Source organism: Homo sapiens, chromosome 15 (genome assembly GCF_000001405.40).
Source record: "Homo sapiens chromosome 15, GRCh38.p14 Primary Assembly".
NCBI lineage: Eukaryota > Metazoa > Chordata > Mammalia > Primates > Hominidae > Homo > Homo sapiens.
The window spans coordinates 84,654,788-84,675,154 of record NC_000015.10 but is presented as its reverse complement, the minus strand read 5'-3'; the positions used below and the strand labels follow the sequence as shown (position 1 = coordinate 84,675,154).

The 20,367-nt window shown below is 46.5% G+C and overlaps 2 protein-coding genes across 10 annotated transcripts in view, besides 1 other annotated feature; both read left to right on the top strand.

Moving 5' to 3' along the window:
- The window catches only part of SEC11A (SEC11 homolog A, signal peptidase complex subunit), a 46,596-nt gene extending 40,985 nt beyond the window's left edge, over positions 1-5,611 (top strand). For 6 of the 7 annotated variants that reach the window (NR_073518.2, NM_001271921.2, NM_001271919.2 and 3 more), the window contains 2 exons: positions 4,373-4,430; positions 5,086-5,611. Coding sequence is in view for 6 of the 7 variants with exons in the window: in NM_001271921.2 (NP_001258850.1) it covers positions 4,373-4,430; positions 5,086-5,136 (109 nt within the window). In the remaining variant the exon portion in view is untranslated. The remainder of the gene's footprint in view (positions 1-4,372; positions 4,431-5,085) is intronic. The other variant, NM_001271922.2, reaches the window with a different exon arrangement.
- Positions 16,841-17,000: a silencer, noted in NCBI's record as "silent region_6771". NCBI's record gives its function as "represses an Ori minimal core promoter by ATAC-STARR-seq in GM12878 lymphoblastoid cells {active_cell/tissue: GM12878}" and the evidence as "EXISTENCE:reporter gene assay evidence [ECO:0000049][PMID:35858748]".
- Positions 16,956-20,023, top strand: NMB (neuromedin B). Of its 3 annotated transcripts, none has more exons than NM_205858.2 (3): positions 16,956-17,159; positions 17,807-17,979; positions 19,751-20,023. In NM_205858.2, the coding sequence occupies exons 1-3, from the start codon at positions 17,003-17,005 to the stop codon at positions 19,883-19,885; spliced, it is 465 nt and encodes a 154-aa protein (NP_995580.1). In that variant the 5' UTR covers positions 16,956-17,002; the 3' UTR covers positions 19,886-20,023. The 3 variants fall into 3 exon arrangements, with proteins under 3 accessions (NP_995580.1, NP_066563.2, XP_016877728.1); NM_021077.4 differs by having other exon boundaries at positions 19,746-20,023; XM_017022239.2 differs by lacking the exons at positions 17,807-17,979; positions 19,751-20,023 and adding an exon at positions 17,475-17,755.

The following is a 20,367-nucleotide window of genomic DNA, read 5'->3' as shown; positions in this document are numbered from 1 at the left end:
AGCAACTCTGCTTTAGCACATGAGTTTATCTGAGCAAAATAGGCAAAAAGTGCAAATGGTTTGAATTTAAGATGACTGATGATAGCAGCATTATACACTTGATTATCAGCTCTTTGCTTATCTCTGTCCATGGAGGGTAACAGTGGTACAGACAATTAAATCTTTTGTTTGACTTTGAACTGCCTCGTCATATTCTGGGATCCTTAGATCTTGCTTATATTACTCCTAAAGACCAAGTTGCTTTCATTTCACTTACAGTGGGCAAAGAAAAGCCAACCTTTAAAAAAAAGTTTCAGGTTGTGTGTGGTGGCTCACGCTTGTAATCTCAGCACTTTAAGAGGCCAAGATGGGAGAACCGCTGGAGCCCAGGAGTTTGAGACCAGCCTGAGCAAGGTAGTGAGATGCTGTCTCTACAAAAAAATTTAAAAATTAGCCAGGCATGGTGGCGTGCACTTGTAGTCCCAGCTCCTTGGGAGGCTGAGGTGGGAGGATTGCTTGAGCCCAGGAGTTCAAGGCTGTAGTGAGCTATGATCACACCACTGCATTCTAGCCTGGGTGCCAGAGTAAGATCATGTATCAAAAAAAAAATTTTTTTTTTTAAATTCCATGGATTATTCACAAGCAGGCTATGTGATTGCTGGGAGCTGAGGATTGTGGTTCTTTGGGCATAGATATCATTGCATGGAGGTAACAGAGTCTCTGTGTATTAGAATGGCTGCTTATTGATCATCAGATCAGAATTAGCAGCTTAATGTTTTAGTAGAAATCACAGATGCTTTTATAGCTCTTAATCTGTACTTTACTGTGAGGCATTTGCCTTTATGTTCTTAAATTAGGTGATTTACTGAAAGCTATTGCTTTTATGGAAGTGTTAAAAATGAGACAAAAGAAATAACAGTTACTGCATTAAAAAGGAAAAATAATATATATATATAAATATATATAAAATGTAGAAAACCTCTATCCATCCTCTTAGAGCTTAGCCGTGCCATTCTTTAACGACTGTTACTTTTCAGCTCTTGGAGATCCCAGGGGTTGAGATGAAAGCATGAACCCTAAGAAGGGATATTATTTGCCATCACACACCTATATGTGCATCTCACACTAAAATTGTACTTCTTGAATTTTGATGTACAGGAGCGTTATTTGGGCCCCACCTTTCAGAAATTCCCTGGCTTAGTTGGTCTGGGAAAGATACAAGAATCTGCATTTTTATTTATTTTTTTTATTTTTTATTTTTATTTTTTGAGACAGAGTCTCACCCTGTCGCCAGGCTGGCATGTAGTGGCACAATCTCGGCTCAGTGCAACCTCCACCTCCCGGGTTCAAGCGATTCTGCTGCCACAACCTCCTGAGTAGCTGGGATTACAGGCGTGCACCACCATGCCCAGCTAATTTTTATATTTTTAGTAGTGACAGGGTTTCACCATGTTGGTCAGGATGGTCTCGATCTCCTGACCTCATGATCCACCCGCCTCAGCCTCCCAAAGTGCTGGGATTACAGGCGTGAGCCACCGTGCCCAGCCAAGAATCTGCATTTTTAACAAGCCATCAAGCGGTTGTGACAGAGGAGGTCTAGGCTTTAAGAAACACCAGTGTATGGAATGGGAGTTTGGGGATGGGGCAAGAGAGACAGGTCTCAGTGATCCTGCTAGAAGGGAGAGGACAGAGAGGGGTGAAGACAAGAGACAGGAAGTGAGGGGAGTTCTTTTTTTTTTTTTTTTCCCAAGGCAGAAGAATTTTTCTTAGTACAGAACAAAATGAAAAGTCTCCCATGTCTACTTCTTTCTACACAGACACGGCAACCATCCGATTTCTCAATCTTTTCCCCACCTTTCCGCCCTTTCTATTCCACAAAACCGCCATTGTCATCATGGCCCGTTCTCAATGAGCTGTTGGGTACTCCTCCCAGACCGGGTGGTGGCCGGGCAGAGGGGCTCCTCACTTCCCAGTAGGGGCGGCCGGGCAGAGGCGCCCCTCACCTCCCGGACGGGGCGGCTGGCCTGGCGGGGGCTGACCCCCACCTCCCTCCCGGACGGGGTGGCTGCTGGGCGGAGACGCTCCTCACTTCCCAGACGGGGTGGCTGCCGGACGGAGGGGCTCCTCACTTCTCAGATGGGGTGGCTGCCGGGCGGAGGGACTCCTCACTTCTCAGAGGGGGCGGTTGCCAGGCAGAGGGTCTCCTCACTTCTCAGACGGGGCGGCCGGGCAGAGACGCTCCTCACCTCCCAGACAGGGTCGCGGCCGGGCAGAGGCGCTCCTCACATCCCAGACGGGGCGGCGGGGCAGAGGCGCTTCCCACATCTCAGACGATGGGCGGCCAGGCAGAGACGCTCCTCATTTCCTAGATGGGATGGCGGCCGGGCAGAGACGGTCCTCACTTTCCAGACTGGGCAGCCAGGCAGAGGGGCTCCTCACATCCCAGACGATGGGCAGCCAGGCAGAGACGCTCCTCACTTCCCAGACGGGGTGGCGGCCGGGCAGAGGCTGCAATCTCGGCTCTTTGGGAGGCCAAGGCAGGCGGCTGGGAGGTGGTTGTAGCGAGCCGAGATCATGCCACTGCATTCCAGCCTGGGCACCATTGAGCACTGAGTGAACGAGACTCCGTCTGCAATCCCGGCACCTCGGGAGGCCGAGGCTGGCGGACCACTCGCGGTTAGGAGCTGGAGACCAGCCCGGCCAACACAGCGAAACCCCGTCTCCACCAAAAAAATACGAAAACCAGTCAGGCGTGGCGGCGCGCGCCTGCAATCGCAGGCACCGGGCAGGCTGAGGCAGGAGAATCAGGCAGGGAGGTTGCAGTGAGCCGAGATGGCAGCAGCACAGTCCAGCTTCGACTCGGCATCAGAGGGAGACCGTGGAAAGAGAGGGAGAGGGAGACCGTGGGGAGAGGCAGAGGCAGGGGCAGGGGCATGGTCAGGGGCAGAGGCAGAGGCAGAGGCGAGTTCTTAAAGGGAAGTGAAATGTGTCAAAAACAAAATGTGTGTTCTTCAAGTTTGCCTGAGGCTTTGATGGTGTAGATATTATGTGGGAGGTAATTTCTGTTTGTGCTGTCTTTGGCATGGTCTGGGCTGTTTTAAAGTGTGCAAAGGTCAGCCTCCACTTCAGCTCAGCGTCCCTATGACAGGCTCTAGCTTAGTACAATATTGCCAGTCCGCTCTGGAGTCCAGCGATAGAAGAGGAGGATAAAGAAGAAAGTTTTACATTTGCTAACCACCTATTCCGCCCACATCGATGGTACCCTGCTAATTTTCTCTTTCTGCCGTGAATGCTTATGATGTCAAAGTAGTCTTTTGCATGGAGAGGAATTTAAGCCCTGGGAGAAAATAGGATTTCCCCAAGAGAAAGCAAAAAGAAAAGGCCCGGACATTCAGACATTCAATCAGGCAGGATGTACTGGATATCTCCTATGTGTAAGGCACTATGTTGACCTTGAGGATACAGGGGGAACAAGATAGGCATCATTGTTGCCTTTATAGAGCTTCTAGTTTGGTAGGGGAGACACACATGTATCGAATCTGTTGTACAACTAATTATTTAAGTAAAAGTATGATAATTATTATAAAGACCTCAAAGGAAATGTATCAGGTGCTGTAAGATAATTTAACAGGTGGTTTTGCTTAGTTTGAGGGGAAAAACTTTAGGGGCATGAGGAATTAGAAAGAGCTAGTGAAAAGAAAGTGTAGCAGCCAAAGAGTTAGGTGAAGAAACAAATCTGTGGTACATTAAGAAACCAAGAAGGAGGAATTTCCAGAGCATATTTGTGGTCATGAAAGTCAAATGCTGCCAAGATGGAAAGGAAGATGGGAGTTGAGACTGGTTTGCTACATATGGTGATGAAAACTGTTCTAGAAAAGTTTCAAGTTAATAGGACCAAACACAGCTTACAGGTGATTAAAAAATGAGAAGGTGGTGAAATCCTAAGTACTATAATGAGCTCTTACACTCACTTTTTGGCCACTTAACATGAAGTACTTTGTAATATTCTGGCTGTGCTTGCTTTGTCTCCCCAGCTAGATTGACAGCTTCCTGAAGGTTATGATGATAAACCTAGCCCCTAGCACTGTATCAACATGTAGCATTAGAGTCACCACCTGGAGATCTAAGACCTTGGCTCTATCTGGTGCTGGTTCTGCCACACAGAAACCATGTACCTTGGGCATGATCATCTGTTTCCTCATCTCTAAAATGGTGATATTCCTAACTTTCCTATCACTTGGGCTTTTGCAAGGATCAAATAGGGCAGTATATAGAAATGGACTTTGTGAATTGAAAATTAGTATTCTATAGAAGATATTGATAATATTCAGTGAGTGACAACAGCTGCTTTACATCGGAAATTCTGTGATAATCAGTTTTTTGTTTGTTTTAGATTTGTTCCTTATATTGGAATTGTGACGATCCTCATGAATGACTATCCTAAATTTAAGGTAAGAGTCTGTATTATTTGTTTTATTAAAAAATGTAATCTTTTGGGCCAGGCACAGTGGCTCAAGCCTGTAATCCCAGCACTCTGGGAGGCCGAGGTGAGTGGATCGCTTGAGCCCAGGAGTTCAAGACCAGCCTGGGCAACATAGCGAAACCCCGTCTCTATTAAAAAAAAAAAAAAATTATTAGCCTGGGCGCAGTGGCTCACGCCTGTAATCCCAGCACTTTGGGAGGCTGAGGCAGGCAGATCACCTGAGGTCAGGAGTTCGAGAACAGCCTGGTCAATATGACAAAACCCTGTCTTTACTAAAAATACAAAAAAATTAGCCAGGAATGGTGGTACACACCTGTAATCCCAGCTACTGGGGAGGCTGAGGCACGAGAATTGCTTGAATATGATAGGTGGAGGTTGCTGCTGCACTCCAGCCTGGGTGACAAAGTGAGACTGTCTCAAAAAAAAAAAAAAAAGAAAATTATTTAAAGAAATGTGATATTTTGCTTAGTATTGGAAACTTTTAAATGGATTATAGTTAAAAGATGAAAGAATAATTGGGTAGTTTAGCGATATATTCACAAAGACCAATTTGTTAATTAACTCTTAGAACCTCTGAACTTTTCAACGCTTCTCTGACTTGTGGTTCTGTGTTTATTTTCTAGTATGCAGTTCTCTTTTTGCTGGGTTTATTCGTGCTGGTTCATCGTGAGTAAGAAGCCTGCCTTGCTGTTCCTGGGAAGATGCCATAGTTTTCGTTACTGGATGTTTGGAGTAGATACTGGTCTGTGATTGGTGGAATGGAGAACACACGTGTTGGTGCTTCTGGGTAGCACTGGTTTGCATTAGTTTATGTTTCCATGCCAGAGTTTGTGTGGGCGGGCGCATGTGCACCACAGAGTGCACTCGAGGGGACTTTCAGTCACAGGATTTCATAATTGTCATTGTCACACTTTCAAATTTTTGTACATCAGTGAATTTTTTTATATTAAAAGGTTGAGCCAAAGCCCCCAGTGTTTGTATTTTGAAGCCAAGCTTCACTTCTAAAGTGCCTACAGAGACTTGTAAATGAAAATGCAGCTCTGCACGAGTTTGAAACCGTCATACCTCCTTCTATTAGGAATGGCATATACTGAGGTGGTCGTAAGTCTTAACTTCTAAAATTTTAAATAAAAGACTTTGCACATTGAACCCCTTATCCCTGAATTGTGTTTGTCGGGAAAGCTTCTGAAATTTGCCTTCCTTGGCTGGTTCTTAGTACCCCTGGGGGATATAAAGGCTTGGTGTGAACAGTCCTTCAGCTAAGAAGGTTGCTCTGATACTAACAACTAGTTTTTTTGTTTGTCTGTTTTGCGTGTGTGTGTGTGTGTGTGTGTGTGTGTGTGTGTGTGAAGCAAAAGTAGCCACTGACAGTCATAGGAAATCTCTTAGTCATAAAATTGATTCTTCCCATGACTCAGATGTGTATAAAACCCAGCTAGTGTTGCTGAGAGGTTCAGAAAATCTCACTTGGTTATAAAAAGTCATAACCCTTTCTACACTTGAGACATTTCAGTCCTTTCTACACCAAGGCAGTGTGCATTAGCATCTAGAGGCAGAGGAAAGGGCTGGAGGACAAGCATTCTGCTTGGCGTCTTTAAAGTCTCATTTGTCTGAACCTGTTCTCTCAAGTGCCTGACTTTGCATTTCTCTAATGCAGACTTAAAGCAAGCAGTTTAAAGTAGTGAGTGCACAACCCAATTGTATGTTTTCTTTTAATATCAAGGCAGTGAGGGAAATAGGGAGTATAGAGTAAACCAATATCTTTTGAGCACAAAATACACTTAATTCTATCTGTTCTCTTGTTGTATTAATGTGAAATCTTAAAGTGAGTTTTCTGTGTTAGGCTACTTGAACAGTTTCTATTATTTGTTCAACTGCAGTGGAAATCAGTCTATGCCGTAATGCTAATGGCATGAGAACAGGGACAATTACTCTTCTGAAGCCCTCCCCTGTGGAGAATAGTACCTTCCTAAACCCATTAACCAGGCTTTAGCCTTCCAACTTTGGATATGGGCTCTTAATATTCTCAACAGAGTATGAAACTTGGCAAATCACTGCTAACAAATGCTTTTTTGAACCTGTCTGTGAGGCGTATATAGTACTTATATTTTCTCATGAACCAGAAGCTGAACATTCCCTGTGTGGAATAGCAGGAAATTGCCATTTATTCCATTTTTTCCCCCCTCATCACCTGTGGAAGATGCAGTTCACTGCTCAGCCTAATCAGTACACTGGTTTTTGTACCAGCCTTTCTAGGACTACTCTAGGGGAGAAGCAGTGTGCTTTGCTGGCCAAGGTTGGGATCCTAGGGTTCTCTGTGATCCTAGCTTGCCTGAATGTAAACATCCTTGTACTTGTATCTTCATCTACTCCAGATTTCTCCTTATAAATGTATTGGGAAGAAAACATTAATACTTTTTTCCCTTGCATATATTCGCAACCAGTTTTATATAAGTATTATTTTTCCTCCTTTCCTGGATGCTGTAGTTGCAAGCAACAACTAAGTTTCTCTGAAAAGGTAATCAAATCATTTAATAATATTTGAATCACTCCATTAGCCAAAAATAAAAAGATTACTTGTGGGGAGGGGTATTATATTCCCAATTTTTATCTTGTCTAGTTTAGTGCTAAACATAAGACTTAAAATGGGAGATTTTATTAGCAAATATATCCTAAAAGCTCTTTGCAAATGTAAGAAATGCCAGAGAGGTTTTATTTGCTAATTGAATGGCGTGATAAGCTCTTTGAGATTTGGCAGGGCAAGTGGAGAATTGGGAGGGCTCAACCATTGTGAGTGAAAGGAATTGAACAAGAGTATGAAAATTGATCAAACTTCAAATGAGAAATTGATAATGGGATTATCTCTTTGGCTGTTACTTGTCTGCTCTTATACCGCCTGCTAATCAATCTTTTTAAATTATTTCCAATGTCTGTCCTCAGTTCTAGTTCCATGTCTCCCTTTCCTCTGGACACTTCCACTTGATTGTCCCGTCTTTAAACTCAAGTTCCTGAAAACTTCCCCTCCATATTTCATGTTTTCTGTGAAGGAATATTCACCTAGATTTGTCATTTCCCTACCATATCTAGCCACGTACTAAGTCCTCCATTTACCCCATCATTCCATTCTCATTGCCATCACCTGAATCCAGAAATACTTATTCAGTGGCTCCCTGTTGCTTGTGTACTGGTCACCCTGCAGTGTGCCAGTCTGTGCCTGTTTTGGATAATTACCACCTGTTATTAATACTTAGTTTTAGCCTGCCTTTTACTTTCAGAAATGCTTCTTGTTTGGACCATAAATTTTGTGTTCATACTACCCTTTCCCTACATTGAATTCAAACTTTGAATTCCACCAACAGTAAGCATCCTTATGAGTGCAAACATCCTTGTACTTATGTCCTCATCTATCCAATCCCTCCTCCTTATACACTTATTGGGAGGAAGACATTAATACTTTACTCACTCGGGCTGGGCGTGGTGGGTCATGCCTGTAATCCCAGCGCTTTGGGAGGCCGAGGTGGGTGGATCACTTGATGTCAGGAGTTTGAGACCAGCCTGGCCAACATGGTGAAACCCTGTCTCTACTAAAAATACAAAAATTAGCTGGCCCTGATGGCATGTGCCTGTAATCCCAGCTACTTGGGAGGTGGAGGCAGGGGAATGGCTTGAACCTGGAAGGCAGAGGTTGCAGATTGTGCCACTGCATTCCACCCTGGGTGACAGAGACTCTATCTCAGAAAAAAAAAAAAAAAAAAATTTCATTCACAACCAGTTGTGTAAAAGTATTATTTTTCCTCCTTTGCTGAGTGTTTCCACTTGTATTATGTCATCTTATTTCTGTTTATCTGAGTCTTACCGTCTTCACAAGTTCTGCTGTCACTCAGCATTTGCACCCTCACACTGTTTGTTTAAATTTGTGGATATGGCCTCGAGGTCCTTGGCAGATTGTAAGCTCCTCCAGGACAGGAGCCCCATTTCATAGACACTGTTCTGTCTTTCCTCAGTAGCCTGAAACAGCATCTATTAAATGTTCAGTACGATCATGCATTGTAGTCAGAGGCAGTAGCTTCAGTTAGCATTGTTGTTGAGCTGTTATTTGGAGGCAGAGCATATGAATCATTAAAGTGATCTGTACTTTCCTGTTATTTAGTAAGTACATTTTCTTGGTCTTGCCAAATTTGAATCTGAAAACTTTCTCTCTCCATGGTTCCATTTAAACAGCATGTACCCTTCCCAGATTTTTAACTGTTAATCCTGCTTCCTTCTTTTTTGTGTGTGTCCTTAGGCTTAGGCTGTTGTGTCTTCTTTCTTGATGGGAGAAGTATTGGCATGTATCATTTTTCTTAAGGAATCACAGGCTTCCTTCTTAGAGACCCAGGGCTTGGAATAGAGAAATTCTCTGTTATCCTGAGTACATTTCTTAGTATTTGCATAAGCCTTTTACCAAGTCTAGCTAACCTCTCAGAACGTGGCATGGAGGCTGATTTCAGAATCTGAGGGCTGGGCCTCTTCTTATGACATTTTCCACTGTTAAACTTCAGAGATGACCCAGCTGGTTCTAGCTAGGTAAATGGATGTCTACCTTCATCAAGCAGCTCTTTCACTCAGGATGGCCTGTTCAGGTTGTTTTGTAGCCAGGTATATCTTCACCACTACTGTCTCTTGCTAGAACAGTAAGTAATACAAGGTAGGCTTTCAGAAGTAAAATAGCAAATATGACCCTTCACACACAACTATGGTGGGTGTGAAGCCACCATAGTTATTGCCATTCAATTAGCAAATAAAACCTCTCTGGATATAGAAAGAATGCTGTGTAACCAAAAAGCATTATCAAAACTAGAATGCGCAGGGCTTACCAAAAAATGGTGAAGATGTTGCCTTCCATGTGTCATTCTAGGTCCTAAGGATTTTTCCAGCTGCACTCTCACCAGACATCACATTCTTGCACCCTGGACGTTGGTCTTACGGTACAGACATTCTGTCTTTGTTTATGCTGGTCACTCTGCCTGGAGTGCCTGGTCACTTCCCTACCTACTGAAAGCTTTCTCATTCATTTAGCAGACATTTATTGAGCATCTGCTCTGTGCCAGATTTTGGGCTAGGCCCTGGGGATACCAAGATGATGGATAAGACTATGTCCCTCCTGGTCAGTACCTTAACAGGGGCAATGGACATTAACAGATTTTTCCACATAGGATCTTAAGTATAATTATATTCTTCCCACAATCACAAAAAAATAAGTAAATAAATAAAAATAAGTGCAATGATAGAGATGCTCAGGGAGCTCCAGAGAGGAGTGTTTCTTACTCCGGATGGAGCTTCTGAGCCCATGTCATGCTTCCTGCTCTGCACTGTCCCGTACTTTGTTCGTGCTCCTCTCGAACATTGCCCTCAGAGTGGTTTGCCTTATGTGTGTCTCTCTCCCCCACCAGAGGGTCGGCTCCTGGAGGGCATTAAGACAGAGTCAGTCTCTGATTCATCCTTTGATATCTGCTAGTCCCTATTGCAGTGCTTTGCATATTTTAAACTTATTTATACTCTCTTGTTCATAAAGATACCTCCAGTACTATGTGATGAAATAGAAAATAATTGAAGAATTCAGGTTGAGAGAAATGTGGGAGGAGAAAAGGATGAAATCAGAGGTGAGGAGGCCGGGCACAGTGGCTCACGCCTGTAATCCCAGCACTTTGGGAGGTTGAGGCAGGCAGAACACTTGAGGTCAGGAGTTCAAGACCATCCTGGGCAACATAGTGAAATGCCGTTTCTACTAAAAATACAAAAATTAGCCAGGCGTAGTAGCCATCACTTGTAATCCCAGCTACTTGGGAGGCTGAGGCAGGAGAATCTTTTGAACCTGGGAGGCGGAAGTTGCAGTGAGCCAAGATCGCACCACTGCACTCCAGTGTGGGCGACAGAGCAAGAGTCCATCTCAAAAAAAAAAAAGAAAAAGAAAGTAAAGAAAGAAATCAGAGGTGAGGTTAGTACCTACAGGACATATCAAAAGATTCTGTTGTCTACTGGAATAGATCCATAGCTTTGGCTCTCAGTCCTTAGCTGCTAATGCAAAGAGGTTCGGAACTAGTCATTTATGTGCTTTATGGAATGGGTATAAAATGAAATTAAAAGAAAAAACTTATAATGTATCTGAAAACCAAGAAATTTCTTAACTGTGCTGCGTGACTTTTTTTTTTTACAATAACCCCTGTACTAATTAGTCTAATGATAGAGCTATTTCAGCGAATGTTCCAGTGTAGGTATAGTTCGGCAACTTTTGCAGAAAAGGTACTTCACAAAAGACCATCTACCCATCTAAACCAGGAATCTTCAACTTTCCTGTAGAACAGCGTTCCTTAATCTTAAAACTCATGGCCTCTTTTGGGAAACAAAAATCTCATACCTCCTCTTCATTCTGAGAAACACCCTTCCACCGCGCCAGTCTATAATATCCAACCTCTTATCCTCATCAGCCAAGAGTATTTGATCTTGCGTTCTCTTAAGTTTGTATTATAGAAACGATAATAACTTCTTTCCCATATACAGTTATTATTATATTGAATATGACTTTCAAACTGTATATTCTATCCTTGTTCTACCAATCTTAGGCATTTCTGAAATTCCACCTACTCTTTTTTTTTTTTTTTGACACGGAGTTTCACTCTTGTCGCCCAGGCTGGAGTGCAATGGAGCAATCTTGGCTTACTGTAACCTCTGTCTCCTGGGTTCGAGTGATTCTCCTGCCTCAGCCTCCCAAGTAGCTGGGAATACAGGCATCTGCCACCACACCCAGCTAGGTTTTTGGTATTTTTAGTAGAGACAGGGTTTCACCATGTTGGCCACGCTGGTCTCAAACTCCTGAGCTCAGGTGATCCACCCGCCTAGGCCTCCCAAAGTGTGAGGATTACAGGTATGGGCCACTGTGCCCAAATTCCACCTACTCTTTTTTTTTTTTTTTTTTTTGTTTGTTTGTGAGACTCCGCACTTTGCCTAGGCTGGAGTGCCATGGAGCAATCTCCACTCACTGCAACCTCCGCTTCCTGGGTTAAAGCAGTTCTCCTGTCTCAGCCTCCCAAGTAGCTGGGATTCAGATGCTCACCACCATGCCCAGCTAATTTTTGTTATTTTTACTAGAGACGGGGTTTCACCATGTTGGCCAGGGTGGTCTTGAACTCCTGACCTCAGGTGATCCGCCCACCTCGGCCTCCCAAAGTGCTGGGATTACAGGCGTGAGCCACTGTGCCCGGCCCCAACCTACTCTTATTAAGAATCATTTCTCTAAAACTGTTACTTTAATTGGCCTGTCTACTTAGATTGGTAAGCTGTATTCCAGATTTAATTCAAGGAGTCTAGTTAGAAGAATTTATACTAGACTTAATGTCAGGCAAGTAAGTAAATTGGCTAGCATCAAGCTTTGATCAAAGCTCTCAGCCTGACAACTTATTTAAGCCAAAATAGAATGCTGTGTAGAATCCTTTTTCTTGGAATTGGTCAAGAGTTGAGGTAGATGGGCTGACATTTTAGTTTATCAATTTTTGATGTAATAGGCATTTTTGCCAGAGCCAGGCACTGTTGTGTCAACACCATGGCTGTTATCCAGGGAACTTTTTCCCCCTCTGAGATGGGCTTCATATTTAAAGCAGGCTTTGCTTTTCCCAGGTCGAGCTAATAATAGTGAGTATTTAGAATATGCCAGGGGCTCTTCTAAGTGCTTTATAGTTTATAACAAACTTTTACCTTCTCTATTTAATGAACCTTCTAAATGACCTTCATTTTATAAAAGAGAGAAACCAGGAGAAGTTCAGGGATTTGTCCAGAGTTTTCTGGTCCATGCATGGCAGAGCCAGATTTCAAGTCTGTTGCTTTTACCATGTCACAATGCTGGATGTCATAACCCAGTCCTTTTACCTTTGTAAAGTCTATTGAAATTATTTTATTTGCAATAAATTCCACAATTGCAAAGCCCTTGGGAATTCTTCTTTAGAGGCTCTAGGTTTTTCTTGTGCAGAATTGCTCAGATTATTAGTCTCTTAGAAATAGTGAGATTCTGTGGCAGATTTCCAAGCATTTAAACCTCTTTGGAGATTAAAGAGTATTCATTCCAGTTACAGAAATGTCCCCTAACATATGTGAATATTACTCCCAAATAATTAAGAATGCTGGGCCTGGGGCTTCTCACTTCCTTAGGTTTTCATAGCTTTCCTGAGTACTGCATCAGTTAGCTGATCAGCAGCCTTTGTTTTTTAGCCACCATTGGAGTCATGATCACGTTCTCATTAGGTGTAGGTATTTTCTTTTTTTCAAATATTGCCTTTAAGAAAACATTTTGTTAGCCGGGCGCAGTGGAAGCTGAGACAGGAGAATTGCTTGAGCCTGAGAGGTAGAGGTTGCAGTGAGCTGAAATCATGCCATTGCACTCCAGCCTGGGCAACAGAGCAAGACCTTGTCTCAAAAAAAAATAAATAAATAAAAATTAAAAAAAAAAACTTTTGTATTTTGGCAATTTTGATTTACTAAAGATTTCCTTCTTGAGGTTACTGTTCTGATTTTATAGGTAATCCCTATGCGTTCCCTCTGAGTTTAAGAAATTGTATCCAATATCCCTGATTTTCCCTTAAAGATTCTGCTGTTTTCCTGGTTCTCTGGTCCCTTCTTCACTCTGAAAGTAAAGAGTAGGGCCTGAGATATCCCAGGATGTTTCTCTTCATCTCCCCAGCCCATACAGTTGGAGATTGTGCTCAAAGATTTGCCAAAATAGAGATTTTACACCAAGCCTGTCCAACCCGCGGCCCTCGGGCCACATGCGGCCCAGTAGGTTTTTTTTTTTTTTTTTTTTTTTTTTTTTTTTTTTTTTTTTGAGACGGAGTTTCTCTCTTTTTGCCCAGGTTGGAGTGCAATGGCACGATCTCGGCTCACTGCAATCTCCGCCTCCTGGGTTCAAGAGATTCTCCTGCCTCAGCCTCCCGAGTAGCTGGGACTACAGGCACCCGCCACCACACCCGGCTAATTTTTTGTATTTTTAGTAGAGACGGGGTTTCACCATGTTAGCCAGGATGGTCTCGGTCTCCTGACCTCGTGATCCATCCGCCTCAGCCTCCCAAAGTGCTGAGATTACAGGCGTGAGCCACCACGTCCGGCCACGGCCCAGTAGCTTTGGATGTAGCCCAACACACATTCGTAAGCTTTCCTAAAGCAGTAAGAGATTATTTTGTGTGTGACTTTTTTTTTTTTTTAAGCTCATCGGCTATCATTAATGTTAGTGTATTTTATGTGTGGCCCAAGACAATTCCTCTTCCAATGTGGCCCAGGGAAGCCAAAAGATTGAACACCCCTGTTTTACACATCCTGTTGTGACAACTCTAGGTTTCCTGTCATTTATTTTCTTTTTCTTTCTTTCTTTCTTTCTTTTTTTTTTTTTTTGTGGCGGAGTTTTGCACTTGTTGCCCAGGCTGGAGTGCAGTAGTGCGATCTTGGCTCACTGCCGCCCTGACCTCCCAGGTTCAAGTGATTCTCCTTCCTCGGCCTCCTGAGTACCTGGGATTACAGGTGCGTTGCCATCACGCCCGGTTAATTTTTGTATTTTTAGTAGAGATGAGGTTTCACCATGTTGGCCAGGTTGGTCTCGAACTCCTGCCTCAGGTGATCCGCCCATCTCAGCCTCCCAAAGTGCTAAGATTATAGGTGCGAGCCCTGGCTCCCGGCTGTAATATCCATTCTTAATCGCTATTTTTGATGAAGCAATTTTTTTATTAAAAAACTTGGTGTACTTTAAATATTTTCCTGGTGTTAGCTATGATAGGATTTGCCATGTATCTTTCACCCTTTTAGTTACCCCATGGGTTGTTTTGTGAACCTGCCTCACATTTTCTGTGCATGTCCTTGAATGTTGTAGAATCCTAGGAGGGTCGAGAGTGGGTTCTGAAGAGCTTCCCCACGTACCTCCATTCAATTCAATGCTAGCCTTTCCCCATGGAGTGGAGGCCTTTGGACTTCTCTTGCCACCAGAGTGGACTTAGGGAACAGGCAGTTGGCATTTGAGGTCCTCATGCTAAACTTAGAGCCTAGCACTCCCTTGAGCAAGCCACCTTCTCCCCTGTGCCTCCCATTTTTTTCCCTAAGGTGAGTGCTCCTAAGTCTGTGGAGGTGCTCCCCTGCTGTTTTCTCCAGGGTCCTCAGAGGCCCCCCCCCTTTTTTTTCTATAGTAGGCTGACAGAGCAAATGGTTCCAAGGGTGCCTGGGGCCAGCCTCAGAGCTGTGGCTGCAGCTGTGAACCCAGGCTGTGTCAGAGGAAGCTTGGCTTAAGTATAAATAACCTTAGCAGAACTCAAGGTCCAGTCACCTGTGGAAGAGAGGTGAAACTCGAAATGCAGTGCCCACTCCCTCTCCCTCCTGAGATACATAAACACAACTTGGTGTTGAAATTTGAGATGGTACAATGGGAGTGGGTGTGGTTTAGGGAGAGTTGTATCTGCCCTGCATAGATTTGGGGGCCTGATGCAGTGGTCCAGACAGACCTGAAATCTGATTCCAGTGGGACTTCTGGGAAAGTGGCTAAACCTCTTAGCCTGTTCCCACCTATAAAAATGAGGAGACAGAAACCTACCAAATAAGATTCCTTCAAGCATTTAAGTGATGCAGCACTCAATCAATACCAGCTTCTGTGTGTTCACGCTAATTTCTATTATCCATGGACTAGAGAAGATAGGATGGGGGTTTGATGGATGCAGAGGAGAGGGAGGGGGGTCACAAAGGAATGATTACCGGAAGGTGATAAGAGCTATATCTGTACACCATGGCTAAGCTGTGACAAGAAAGCAGAGAGGTGTAAATGCCAGGGTGGGAGGTGAGAAGCAAGGAGATTGGGGGGAAAGCCAGGGCCAGAAATGAAACGTCCCTGTCCTGTGTGTCATGCTCCTGGAAGCTGGGCCTCCAGCTGGGTATGACAGCCAGTTTTTCATGTGAGCTTCCCCTTCTAGGATGAGGATCCACAGAGCTAGCAACCTTGCTGAGCTAGATACTAAGCAAGAGTCCTAGAAGCAGGTCCCATTATCAAGCCAGATGGGAGTAGGTTCTGGTACGGCCACTCTGTTCCGTGTTCCAGAGGTATCCAGAGTCCAAGGGGTGGTCTGCACCCCCGCTCCTCCATCACTCTCTCCTTTGTGTACTTGTCTCTCCAATGAGATGGTTAACTCCCTTGGGAGCAAGGAATTATCTGTCGCCCCTCTTCTTGTGTCTAGTGTAGTGCTCTGAACAATGGGTTTCAGTTAATTAAGCAAACATAAATGTATTCTTCTGGAGCACAGTGTTTTCCTCTGCTCATTATATGATACCACTTATCCAGAAGTTCTTTCCAAGAAAGTCCAGACAGCTCCTGGGGAGAACAAAGTGCCAGGTGTGAGAGGGCAGGTCCTACAGAATTGTTGCTTCCGGCCACAGAGTACTTATGCTAAAACATGTAAAAGTATTAAAATTAGGGCAGTGTGGTTATTACCATTTTACAGTTGAAGAAAGTGAGGTTCAGCCGGGTCACAGCTTGTACATGGACTCCTGGGTGCAGTGCAGTCCTGGGTGCAGTGCTCTTTCCACTTTCTTGACCCAGAGGTCTGCTTCCTGCCCATAAGCCAGGCCCTCCAGCTGGATGCCCGTTCCTCAGAAGCGGCCCTTTGTCCCACCCTCCATCATTCTGCATTCCCATTCTGAGCACCTACTGTGTGCCAGAACATTTCCAGACTGTGATGCTGGCTGTGAGAGGGCAGAGAGCAAGGTGAACACGGGTCAGATTCCCCCAAAGGGCGGAGGTGATGGGGATTAGTTTATGGAAGTCCTTTGGTGCCTAGCACTTGGCTGGACACTGTAAAAATGCCTCTGTTAGCCTGGGAAACCTAGCGACATCCAGTCTCTTGGAAAGAAAAAAAAAAAAAGCCAGGCATGAAGGCGTGTGCCTGTGGTCCCAGCTTCTGGGGAGGCTGAGGCTTGAGCCCAGCCCTGGAGGTTGAGTTTGCAGTGAGCCGTGATCGCGCCACCGCACTCCAACCTGCGCGATACTGCCAGATCCTGTCTCAGAAAAAAAAAAAAAAAAAAAAAAAAAAGCCTGTTACCCGGGAGGAGAGCTCCTCGCCCGACCTCTACCCTCATGAAGAGAGGCTCAGAGGGCTGAAGTGCCTATTTGGCCGAAAGCCGTGGCAGAGTGGCAAGGCAGGGCCAGGGGAAGCGGCTCCGCCGCCGGGGCCGGGCCCCTGTTTGGCCGGTGCCCGGTCCTTAGCCTGAAGGTGGCGGGCTTCCGCCAGAAGCCCCTGGCGGAAGCGGTGCCCGCGTGCGGGCCAGAGTGTGGGTGTGCAGGTCTCTGGGCGGCCCAAAGGGGGTGCCCCTGCCTGGTAACCTAGCGGGAGGGTGGGGACGGCGGGGAGGGCGGCGGGCGCGGGGCACGGCTCCGCTGCTCAGGGCAGGCTCCGCCCCCAGGGGCGCGGATTTAAAAGGATCGAAGGCAGCCCCGGAGCCCAGCGGCCGGGAAGCGCGCCCGAACGAAGCCGCGGCCCGGGCACAGCCATGGCCCGGCGGGCGGGGGGCGCTCGGATGTTCGGCAGCCTCCTGCTCTTCGCCCTGCTCGCTGCCGGCGTCGCCCCGCTCAGCTGGGATCTCCCGGAGCCCCGCAGCCGAGCCAGCAAGATCCGAGTGCACTCGCGAGGCAACCTCTGGGCCACCGGTAAGTCTTTGGGGACGGAGCAAGCAAGCGCCCCTCATCCAGTTCAGACCCCATTTCCTTCTCAACCCTCTGGCCGCTCCTCAGCCACGGACACTAGTGTCGGAGCAGGTGGAAAACCCTGGGGCTCATCTAATTTAATAGATATGTACTTGAGACCCGGACAGGTCAGTGACTTGGCTAAGGTCGCGCAGCCAGTTTAAGACAGGGCTGGGCTAGATCCTAAATCCCACTGCCAGCCGGTGCCCCTTACCTTAGGCGAGACTTAACCGAATCTTCTAACCGCTGGTGTGTTTTTGCTGCACCTCCACTTTCCAGGCGCCTCTTCACTCTCCACTTCCTACCCTGCCCTTTTTCGTCCCTTGTCCAAGCAGCCCACACAACTAGCAGAGTTTCTCCCTGGCCCTGGACCATCCCACCTTCCTGCCAGCTGTGCCATCCTCTCTACCTGTTCAGGAAAAGCTGAGGGAGCAGGCTTTGCCACCACCCAGACACCTTTGTGGCTCCTTGGTGAGGTGGAAGCACCAAGAGGAGGAAGGTTAAGTGTCTTCCCGCTACAAGAACGGAAACGTGGGAGAGATGAGGAACTTTTCCTCTGAGGTAGGATCCTGGCTGCTTGACTTCCTTGTGCCTGGACACCTCCTTTCCAGGTCACTTCATGGGCAAGAAGAGTCTGGAGCCTTCCAGCCCATCCCCATTGGGGACAGCTCCCCACACCTCCCTGAGGGACCAGCGACTGCAGCTGAGTCATGATCTGCTCGGAATCCTCCTGCTAAAGAAGGCTCTGGGCGTGAGCCTCAGCCGCCCCGCACCCCAAATCCAGGTGAGCCGGGCCCCTGCTCCAATGTCAGGAGGGCCCAGCTGGGGCCATCCCCGGATCCTGCATGGGAGGAATTACCACCCAGTACTGTATTAGGGTGTGACTGTCTGACTAGGACATTATGGGTGTGGACCCCAGAAAGCCAGGTTTCCAGGCTTTTCCCTCTTGAGGCAGAGCTCAAAGGAGGAACAGTCCAAAGAAAGGAAGCTGACCTTCCCAGTAGACCCCATGGGGCAAGAAGTAGGGAAAGAAGTTCCCCTGACTCATCACCCAGTCTAAAGTAACAGACTGGGATCATCAGCCTTTTGGAGCAGGACCTTTCTCCCCCAGTCTACACAGTCTTGTCCCACCCATGCTGTTCCCTGCTGCATTAGTCAAGTCCACCTTTGCTGTGTCCTGTGTATGCTTGTGGCCGGAATGGGACCCTGAGGCCCAGAGAGGGAAAGAGAAGTCAGCAGCCAAGACAGAGTCTGGACCTTGTTCACCTGGACTGGAGCTCTTCCCATTCTCTCATCTGCCTCAGTATCCAGTGGTAGGGTTTAGCAACTTCAGTACATTTGACGTTCTAGGCTGAATCACTGTTTCTTGTGAGGGCTGACGTGTGCATCATGGGATGTTTGGCAGCATCCCTGGTCTCTACATACTAGATGCCAGTAGCATCTTTCCCCCCCATCAAGTTGTGACAACTGAAAAGACCTCCAGACATCACCAGATGTCTGCTGGGGGAGAGGGCCCCAAATCATTATTGGTTGTCAGTCACTGATCTATGGGATTCAAGACTCCAAAGCTGGAGCCAAGCTAGCCTCAAGGTATAGCCCCGCTGAGTGGCAACTCCTTCATTCCCTGCTCCTGGTGCTGTCCTTACTGCACACCACCCTCCCTGGTCCTGCTGCTGTGTGCAGAAGGCAGTGTGATGTGGTAGAATGTGGGTTTTGACTACAACGTGCTGGGCTCATAACCTAGCTACTTAGTAGCTGTATGACCTTAGAAATGTCCCTTAACTTCTCTAAAGCCTCAATATTCTTCACCCATAAAATGAAGATAATAAGGCCCATCTCCCATTAAATGAGACCATTTATGTCAAATGCTCAGCATGGTGCCTGGCTCATAGACAGCCCTTAGTAGATGCGAGCTCTTATCAGTCTGTGAGCTCCCTGGCGGCACCTGTTGTAGACTCGCCTTCATATCCCCCAGTGTGCCTAGCATATAGTGTGTGCATTTTGAAGGGAGAGGCATTCCCTAGAAAAGGTCCAACCCAGCCTCAACCAACATCCCTGACTTCCTGAGGCACAGAACCAGCAGCCCCTGAGGACCTCAGATGTAAGGCCTAGGAGCTTGGGCTGGCTGAGTCTGAAGGGAAACAATGTCACCTCTAATGCCCTTGGTTTTGAAGCTCTGACACATGCAGACCAACTAGAGAATCTCAGAAGCAGCAGTGCCTACGTCTGGGGCTTCAGAGTGAGGTCTGGGGCAGAGCTGGGGTGGGGGAGTGAGGACGCTGACACTAGCCCAGCACCAAGCACTGTATTTGGATTTTCTTCCACGATCTTCTTTGACTGTCATGACCACCCTGGGTGGTTGGGGCTGTGTTCTGAGAAAACTACTGCCCCGACCCCTCCAAGGCAATTCAGGGTGCTCTGGGGCCTGCCTCAGCTGACAGCCTGCTGGTGCCCACCTCTGCAGACATCTGGCACTTAGGAATGGCAGGATGCCCCTATCTTTATCAGGAGCCCCTCCCTGGCTCAATTCTTCTGTATGTTTCTCTTCAGTACAGGAGGCTGCTGGTACAAATACTGCAGAAATGACACCAATAATGGGGCAGACACAACAGCGTGGCTTAGATTGTGCCCACCCAGGGAAGGTGCTGAATGGGACCCTGTTGATGGCCCCATCTGGATGTAAATCCTGAGCTCAAATCTCTGTTACTCCATTACTGTGATTTCTGGCTGGGTCACCAGAAATATCGCTGATGCAGACACAGATTATGTTCCTGCTGTATTTCCTGCTTCCCTGTTGAATTGGTGAATAAAACCTTGCTCTTTACATACAATGCCTGGTCCTCTCCTTTCACCCGTCTTTTAGGGGATGGGAGGAAAAGGGGGCTGGAGGGCAGAGTGTTCAGTGAGATGGGGCTGGCTCAAAAAGTCCAGAATACCCCATGCCATGGCACCAGCCTGGCACTGACTCTGGCCTCCTACCCATTCATTCAGCAAGCAAATAACGCCTGTTGCATGCCAGGCTTCGTGCCAGGCGCGGGGTTCTACTCTCATCTCTGCCACCTACTGGCGCAGGCAAGTGTCACTAGTTTCCTCGCTAGTAAAAGGGGGCTGCAGACACTACACTGCCGGGCTTTACTCAATACCCCCGCCGGACTTGGAGGGGAGCGCCGAG